This window comes from Homo sapiens, chromosome 3 (genome assembly GCF_000001405.40).
Source record: "Homo sapiens chromosome 3, GRCh38.p14 Primary Assembly".
NCBI lineage: Eukaryota > Metazoa > Chordata > Mammalia > Primates > Hominidae > Homo > Homo sapiens.
Genome location: NC_000003.12, coordinates 70,853,256 through 70,862,385, shown reverse-complemented (window position 1 = coordinate 70,862,385; position 9,130 = coordinate 70,853,256). Strand labels below are relative to the sequence as shown.

The window sequence follows — 9,130 nt, the reverse complement described above, 5'->3', positions numbered from 1 at the left end:
AACACTCCTCCCCCAACCTCTGTGTAGGTGTATCCTAAAGGACACATGCAGTCACATTTGTTTTTTAATAAAATCTTCCACTGTGAAAGACAATATGCTTAAATAACTAAGGAGATTATTTTATTCAGCCTATTGCAATAAGGAAGATGTTGTTAATGAGGAACATCTCAAAAAAAATAAAAAAGAAAAGAGGGTGGGTTTTTATAGAAGCAAGTAAACAAGGGAGTCATCCCAAGTCTTATGGGAATCATTAGGAAGATGAAAAAAATGGGTCTTATCTTTGACTTCTTATGAGTCATTGGGGAAAGTGAGGCTTAGCTCAGAGTGTGTGGGAGCAGCATTGTCCTTCGGGGTTAGATCTTTCTCAGAATACAAGAGGGTAGGGAGAATTTCTCAACTGTTGCTCCTTTCTGGGAGCATAGGGCTCAGACCAAGTCCAACAGTCCAGTCCCTTCTTTCGTTCAAGATGAATGAATATACTTTGTTGCTGGACTTGTCAGAGGTGATCAATAACCTGAGCTGGGCCAAGCAAGGTATAAGAAACTGTCTCTCAGGGATTCTTGTTTGCATTCCTCCAAAATCAGTTGAACCATCTGTTGAGAGGTTGTGGGAAAGCTTTCTGTTTTAGAGTCCTAGAGATCAGGCATTTTAAAAGAGGAATCTCTAAGATGAAAAAGAAAAAGACTAATATAAAAGGCTGTATTCCAGAAAACAGCCAGAAGGTGACCCTAAGGGTAGCAGTCCATGGATTCCAAGAGATCTGTGGAGGAAAATCTTTTGATTATGCCATTGTAATTTCTGGATACTCTTGAACTAGGATGTTGATGCTCTGAATGATGTTGTTCACAGTATTCATTTCCTCTTATATAAATGCATACCAGACTTCCTTAGTGGTCCAGACAGTGACTTGTACAGGGAGAATTCTGGCCCATGCATGGTCTGCTGCAGTGATGAGTCCTTTGAGGTGTGTAAGTCCTTAGGCTTCAGCTTGCAAGCTTCCTCGGATTTTCAGGAAATATGCCAGCTGCAAGGCAACTTAGACTCTGACAGGGATCTGGGCCTTCAGTTTTCAGTTCTTGGTGATGTTGAGTCAGGCAGGATGGGAAAAATTGGAAACATCAGTTTGGAGGACTGTAGCCGGATATTGAAGGAAACTGTAAGAACTGAAAATTTGGTAAGGACTAATAATTTGAGCAAGATAGGAGGCTCTAGTCCAATTTGCAGGTTGGTTCCAACAGAGACCATATTTTTATGAGCCAATTATCTGTTTACAGAAATCACCAAATGATCAGACCGTGAATCCAAAAGTCAGCACCTGAAATCAAGGGAGTACTCAGAAAGAAAAAAAGTCACATCCTTACCTTGCTACCAAGGGACAAAAATCCAAAGCACAGGAGTGGGAGTTAGACTCATTGTTTGGTCCCTGGATTGCCAACCAGGAACATAGCAGGAGGCGCTCCATGAGACCTTGTTACCCAGGTGGAGTAAGGAGGGACTTGAAGGTGAGGTCCTATACTACCTAAGTCACACCACCAAAACTGTGAAAGAAGATACACAGGACAAATATGAGATGATTTTATTCAGGGTATTGCAATAGGGAGAACACACATTAATGCAGATCATCTCAAAGAAAAAGAAATGAACTGAGGGATTTATAGAGGGGAGTAAATTAGAGAGATATTGGAGAGTCAAGGAGTCAGGCAGAAGGTTGGAGATGGGTTGTAGCCCAGTCATGGAGGACAGGCAGAGGTGGGTGTTGTCTCAGAGTCTTTGAGAGCAGAGTGGTTGTTTGTGCTTTGCCATTTCCCAGAAGGCAAAAGAGTGGCAGTGCCAAGAGGGGCCTGCAGGGTGGGTGGTTCTCATTCATCATCTCTGCTTCGGAGAGCTCTGACTCAAATCAAGTGCAACATCATCTCCATTTTCCAAATGGTTGCTTCCACGTTATATTTACAGGAACTTAAACATGAATGCCTAGTTATCCAGCAACTGATGTATGGCTGACTAGGGTTACCTTTTGCTTGGTAAGTCTAACTGCTAGTCTAGTACTTGGCTTTCTCTGTCACCTAGCTTTTCATTGGATTCTTTATTGACAAACTTTAGTCTTGAACTTCACTTACTTGAGGAGGCAACCGATTCTAATTTGAGTCACCTTAGTTGGAAAGTTTTACTTCACTCTATATTTTTCTTAGTAACTTTTACCTGCACGTCGGCTCTAAACACTGGGAAATACAGTCATTTCTTGGTATCCAAAGAGGATTGATTCTAGACCCTTCAGGATTCCAAACTCCATGGATAATCAAGTCCATGATATGTATGACATAAAATGGTATAGTATTTGCATATAACCAAAGCACATCCTTCTGTTTACTTTAAATCATCTCCAGATTGCTTATAATGTAGCAGGACGAGCCGCAGACAAAACTCCTCAGACACCGAGTTAAAGAAGGAAGGGGTTTATTCGGCCGGGGGCATCGGCAAGACTCCTGTCTCAATAGCCGAGCTCCCTGAGTGAGCAATTTCTGTCCCTTTTAAGGGCTCACAACTCTTAAGAGGGTGCGAGTGAGAGGGTTGTGATCGATTGAGCAAGCAGAGGGTACGTGACTGGGGGCTGCATGCACCGGTAATTAGATCGGAACAAAACAGGATAGGGACTTTCACAGAGCTTCTCTATACAATGTCTGTAATCTATAGTTAACATAACCGATTAGGTCAGGGGTCGATCTTTAACTACCAGGCCCAGGGTGTGGCACCGGGCTGTCTGCTTGTGGATTTCATTTCTGCCTTTTAGTTTTTACTTTTTCTTTCTTTGGAGGCAGAAATTGGGCATAAGACAATACGAAGGGTGGTCTCCTCCCTTAATAATACCTAACACAATGCAAATGCTATGTAAATAGTTATACTGTATTGTTTTAAAATTTGTATTTTTTTGTTGTATTGTTAATTTTTGTTATTTTTTCCCCCACATATTTTCTGTCTGCGGTTGGTTGAATCTGCAGTTGTGGAGCCCACAGATATGGAGAGCTGACTGTACACAATGTTAGACCATAATAGCGGCACCAGTGTGATGTTGGGAAATACAAAATTTAGTTAGAAAGCTACGATTTAATCCTATTTTTAAAACCTTACTTGAACTTTCTAGAAAGACAGTTAGGAACTGAATTGACATTGCTAGCAAAATGTTAGCAATTTGGATTAATTAGCAAGAAGATAATTTACAATTAATGAAAATTCTGAATTAGCGAGTACAGTATTTAAAAGAAACTCTGGTTTATTACTTCCTACCACATTCTGTAACTCAAATTCACTAAGGGAACTTGCCTAGAAGATCATCTTAGGAGACCTACTTTAATAAGAATTACTTATAATTAGCATAACAATTTCATATGCAAATGGTACTTCTAAAGTACTTTAAATTTACTCTTAAGTACTTTATACATTCCCATTTGCAGTCTTATTTACACCTTTAATTTGAGCTTTCTATGAAGAATGACTTCCCTAATGAAGAGTCAACTTCAAGCCGGCTCCACCAACTCTGAATTAGTAAACCCAAATCAATGAGATTTTACTTCACTTATGTTAAACAGTACTATATATAACAAAAATACTGGTTCTTAGTGATATACTATTATACTAAAACTCTGCTCATATTTAAATTCTGTAGCATTTATATATACATGATTTATTATAGGCTGGGAAAGAGACTAAGTTATTGCAAGTAATTGTATGTGAAAGGCTTTAAAATTCATACTGTAACTGCCTGTGCTGTATAGCAAATATCTTCATCTGGGACTTTTAAAGGGATAGCACTTTTGAAGACTATTTTCAGAAAATAGTTCTTTCAATGCCCCAAATCTTAGTTCATATGTAGAATCAGTAGGAGAAAACTGTAACCAACAGCACATTAATAGGCCTTTAAAACAAATATAAACTAAAATGTAAAAAATACATATTTCTCCAAACTTTACATCTAAAGGGTGAAAGAATATGCAAAATAGCTTCTAATTTTAGCTACCTGGGATGCTATATCTTTAATTTAACTATGAGAGAAAATGCTCTGGACTGCTTTGAATTTTTAGAATTTTTTCCCACTTGGCAAGCAGCACGGGACGCAGTTTTAAAATCTGATTTTGTCTCTATCTACCTTTTGCAGTTTCCAACTCTCCCATTTATCTCTAGGGACTTGCAGGCTGTGTTTACGTTATGCCGAAGAGCTGAAGCAAAAGTGAAATTCCAATTCATCACCCAGATGTTTCCAAACTACACGTAACCATATTTGGAATTGTATATATAAAATATCCCTATAATTTATTATTTTTTCCCCCACCTGGATGTTTTGGCATCAAATCACTTTATGTCTGGCAACTCCCAGGGATTTCATTTTAAGGCCCGGAATAGGGATTCCTTGCTAATCAGTCTGCTTTAATCTTGAAGTCCAGCCAGGTTGGCGGGGGTAAGAGGTGGCTAGACATTCCCCAAATGCCCAATGACTATAACTCGGGCACTTTTTCAGAAGAGTTGTGATCGAAACACCAGAATCAATGATAGTGACATTACTGCTCCTGAATGGTTGGTGACTAATGAGAAAGAAATCTAATTTGCCTTTCATTACTTTAAAAATAAACCCCTAAAATATGCATATATATGTATATGTATATATATGTGGGTGTACGTACGTATACATATGATGTTGCTTTTGTCATCAGAATAAAAGTTTAAGTAATAAACAAAAATTATAATGATAACAAGGTAGGCACAGAGTCTTCGAGCTGGAAGCTCTCCTTAGATGAAATTTTAGTATGTTTCCTTCCTCTCACAGATGAGTAAACTGTAGCAGAGACAGGTGACATGACCTATCCAATGCTGCAGAGTGAACCAAAAAAAGAACTGAGACCAGAACCAAGGTCTAAATAGGCTGTGTGCTGATTAGCTATGCCAGAATTTGATTTCTTTATTTTGCCACTGGGAAAACCTATTAAGAGGAATGAGGCTTTTATTACTTTACATGTCAAATTACGTTAGGATAATTCTTATATTGAAATAGGATCAGAAAATTTTCATTTTGTTTAAGGTATACAAACACTGGCATTTCTAACCCTGAATCAAATCATTCCTTCAAATCGCCACATGTAATTTACACAGGTGTTATATAGAAGGTAATATAAACATAGCCTCTAAGCCTCAGTTTCTTATTCTGGTAAATAAGAGGACAAATACCAGCCTCACAAAAGCGTGGATGAACCAAATGTGTATGAAGTACCCGCACTGTGCCTGGCACATTGTAAGAAGTAGTCAATAAATGGTTTCAATGATGTCATGACTTGAAAATTCCATCCAGGAAGGGAAGGTGATGCTTCCATGAATATCTAGACTGAGGACAAGCATTGTCTAGCGATCTTCCACGACAGCAAACTATGTGGTTACTTATGATGATGGAATCATATCACGTAGGTTTGCTGAATCATGTGTTACATATAGAGGAATTCAGCTTATGAATCATAGGAGAAACTACTGTGGTTTAAAAAATACAGAAACATAAGCTCAACCAAGATGAAGAAATTGATTTTATAATGCTGGGGTTAGGGGTGAGGAGAAAAGAGGTAAGGGGGTTTTTACATACAAAATCAATATTCACAAGATCTTTAACAGACCTTGAGAGTTAAAAAAAAATCAAAAATACAAACAAAAAACAAAAACCCCTACCAACCCCGTCCCCCTGCAAAAAAAAAAAAAAAAATCCCCACAAAACCCCAAAAGCTTAATGCAATGAGTGATCTAATCTAACCAACCCACCCACACTCTTTTGTTCTGGAATGGTAATATATTAGAGATCATTAACAATGACTTCAGTTTGAACACTGAGTTAGCTTCCCCTATAACAATATGTCTAATCATTGAACCCCGGTTTTGCAGTCTTTCAGTGTGCCTTCCTGAGCAACAGTCCTACAGGTTGTCTTACATGAGAAAGTTAAAAAAAAAATCTCTCTTCTAGGTGAAGTGATAAATCTCTACTCAGGGCTGAGGAGACTTTTTGTTAAAAGGTCTCATCTCTCCTGTGAGCTTATGTAGCAGACACTTGACATTTGGGAGGGATATGTCTTGAGACCATTGCAAATATAATTTTGGCCAAAAATGGTAGTTAAGCACCACAGAAAAAATTTAAGGGACTCTCTTGCATCTGTAGTAAGAATTTTGGCATTTGCAAAAGACAAAGTATAGAGGCAAGAAAGTGATGTTGAGGTACTCGTTCATGAATCAAGGGATGAGCTCTTAAAATCTAAACTTACCATACATGAATCCAAATTAGCACCCGTGTTAGTTACCTATTGCTGTATAACAAGTCATTGCAAACTTAGACATTTTTTTTTTTTTTTTGAGACAGGGTCTCACTCTGATGCCCAGGCTGGAGTGCAATCTTGGCTCATTGCAGCCTTGACCTCCCGGGCTCAAGTGATCCTCCCACCTCAGCCTCTCGAGTAGCTGGGACTCTAGGCATGCACTATCATGCCCAGCTAATTTTTGTATTTTTTGTAGAGATGGGGTTTTGTCATGTTGCTCAGGCTGATCTTGAATGCCTGGGCTCAAGTGATCTGACTGCCTCGGCCTCCCAAAGTGCTGGGATTATAAGCATGTACCACTGCACCTGGCCAATACACTTTTATTATCTCAGTTTGTATGAGATGGTCTAGTGTTGGCTTAGTTGGGTTATCTGCTTCGGGCCTCAGAAGACTACAACTGAAGTGTCAGCCAGGGGTAGGGTCTCAAGTGGAGGCTTGGCCAGGGAAGGCCTGTTTTCCTGCTCATAAGTTGTAGGTAGATTCAGTTCCTTGCGGTTATAGGATTGAGAGCACTTTTTTTTCTTTTCTTTTTTTTTTTTTTTTTTTTTTTTTTTGGCTAGCTGTCAGCTTTTGGTCACTCTCAGCATCTGGAGGCTATCTACAGCTCCTTGCCACATGGGTTTCGCCAACATGTCACTTACTTGAAGGCAGTGTGCCTCTTAGACAGCAAAAGAGGAGGGAGACATTCCAGCAAGACAGCACTACAGTCTTATGTAATCATTACTTGTAAATACACACTATATCCTAGTGATTAGAAGCCCCGTGTGCTATAACCCAGTGGTTAGAAGCAAGTCACATGTCTGTCTGCACTCAAGGAGAAGGGATTACACAAAGGTGTGAATACCAGGGTGTGGGGATGATGGAGGCCAAGCCTCTGCCCACCACAGTACATCTGCACAATTATAAGTGCAAAAGACCATAGTACTTTGGGTTGTCTCTTGAATAATCAAAATTGCCAATATTAATTCTGTAAAAACAAAAGCCTTTCTGTCTTTGCCTTGTTCTATGAGTTAAGTTCCTACCTTAGAGAGCCAATCAACACAGTTTTATTGAACACCGACTCAATGGGAGCCCACCCCTGCTGGCACATGTGTAGCTGTGGCCTGGGTGTTCAGTTACCCTTGCTCCTTCTGCCTCAAGATGCCGTGACAAAAGAGGACTTCCTGTCTGCTCCCTTAATGTAACTTTCATATATCTGCTATTCCCTCCCCCAACTCCAAGGTGAGGAAAAGGTCCAAAAGTCCAGGATTTTCTTAGCTGAAGAGTGCATTGAACTAATGCTACGAGAGGTCAACATTAGTATAAGAAAGTATAAGCTTTGAAATTCTGTTTCTTCACAATCTATGAGAGTCCCTGGGAGGGCTGAGGGATGCAAAATGCTAATGGATGGTGAGTTATAGCAGATGAAAGGAGATCAAAGAGAGGAGGATAACTTACAGAGACCTGTGGGAGATGAAAGTAGGCTGATCTGATATGTGGCTTGATAAAGAAAGCAACAGACTACTTTGCACCATCTTTGGGACCTGCTAATAGTAAGATGAACTTGGCCTGTGTGGCCTTTAGGTACTTGGGCATGACTGAACATGTCTGATTCTAATTTTCCCAAGCGAGTAAGTGGCTAAAGACTCTTTTACCCCCGAGGGAATAAAGACGATTTCAATGACATCATTATAGGTTCACCCTTGATGGTTCTGGGACATACTTCAGGATAAGAGAAAACGCAAACTTGGTGTGAAGTATTTTAATGTCCTCTCTGGATAGAAAAGATTTCTTAGGAGAAACTCTCACAGAAGAGGAAACGATGCATTGTTGACATTTCCTCCTTGCCCTGCTAGCTTTGAGCCACTGAAAGAACTATCTTGTTAGCATGCTGCAAGTTCTCAGGCAGTTCAGCTAAAACAAATGAGAGGGGTGTCTTCTTGTCTCCGTATGTGGGGATTTATGCAGGCAACCTGTGGTAGTGTTAATGGGTGTTAGCCACGTAAAACCCAGCCCTTCAACATGATAATACATAATACACCCCTTAATTTTTAATTCACTTGGGTCTCAATTTTAAAGCATTTTCTTGTAGTTTGTCCTAATTATAATCATTTTTAATGACAGCTTAAAAATTTCATCCAACTGTCTTATCACATACGGTACTTAATTTCTCAAGTGAACAGTTTTACTGTACACCATTCTGGGTATTTTAAGAACTAAAACATAAAAGGAGAGAAAGTCCTTTGTATGGTGAAACTAGATGTTAATTGTCCTAATATACATAAAGAGACCAAAGCAGTTTCTTGAAGCTAGGGCTGGCCTTCCTGCAGAGGCTTCTCCAATCCCCTTCAAGGGAGATTTGCAAAACCCCCAGGGGAAAGAAAAGGATTTTTCTTTTTTCATTTTGCTGGGTTCTGCCAAAAATCAGAACCAGGATTGAATATTCATTGTTGTATTCTAAATGTTGAATAGATGAGTCTTGTTTGCTTAGACCAAAGTGGAAACTACACAGCTAGAAATAATAACAAGCTGACTACCTTGGCCATCCCATCCTCCAACCCGTTTATTTATTAGATTGTTTCAGTCACAGTGAATTTTCCAACATCTGCTCACAACTTCTGATCAGCCATCCAGGGCATGGCCAGACTGCCATTAGGACACACGGTCATTTAATGTGCTAAATTAACTGCTGAGCTGGGAAAAGGCTTTGCCTCTTTCACTTAAAAAAAATGTCCTGGGAATCCTGAATTTTGTCATGTCTCAGTCATTTATTATTTTTGGAGAAGATAGCTGTCTCCAAAGAATGCATACTGAGC

General features: G+C 39.5%; 2 annotated features.

Annotated features, from left to right (window-relative positions):
- Positions 7,178-7,678: an enhancer, noted in NCBI's record as "H3K4me1 hESC enhancer chr3:70903859-70904359 (GRCh37/hg19 assembly coordinates)". NCBI's record gives its function as "activates a minimal SCP1, AML or CMV promoter by ChIP-STARR-seq in naive H9 embryonic stem cells {active_cell/tissue: H9 hESC(naive)}" and the evidence as "EXISTENCE:reporter gene assay evidence [ECO:0000049][PMID:30033119]".
- Positions 7,633-8,832: an enhancer, noted in NCBI's record as "MED14-independent group 3 enhancer chr3:70902705-70903904 (GRCh37/hg19 assembly coordinates)". NCBI's record gives its function as "activates an origin of replication core promoter dependent on BRD2, BRD4, P300/CBP and CDK7 cofactors, and independent of MED14, by STARR-seq in HCT116 cells {active_cell/tissue: HCT116}" and the evidence as "EXISTENCE:reporter gene assay evidence [ECO:0000049][PMID:35650434]".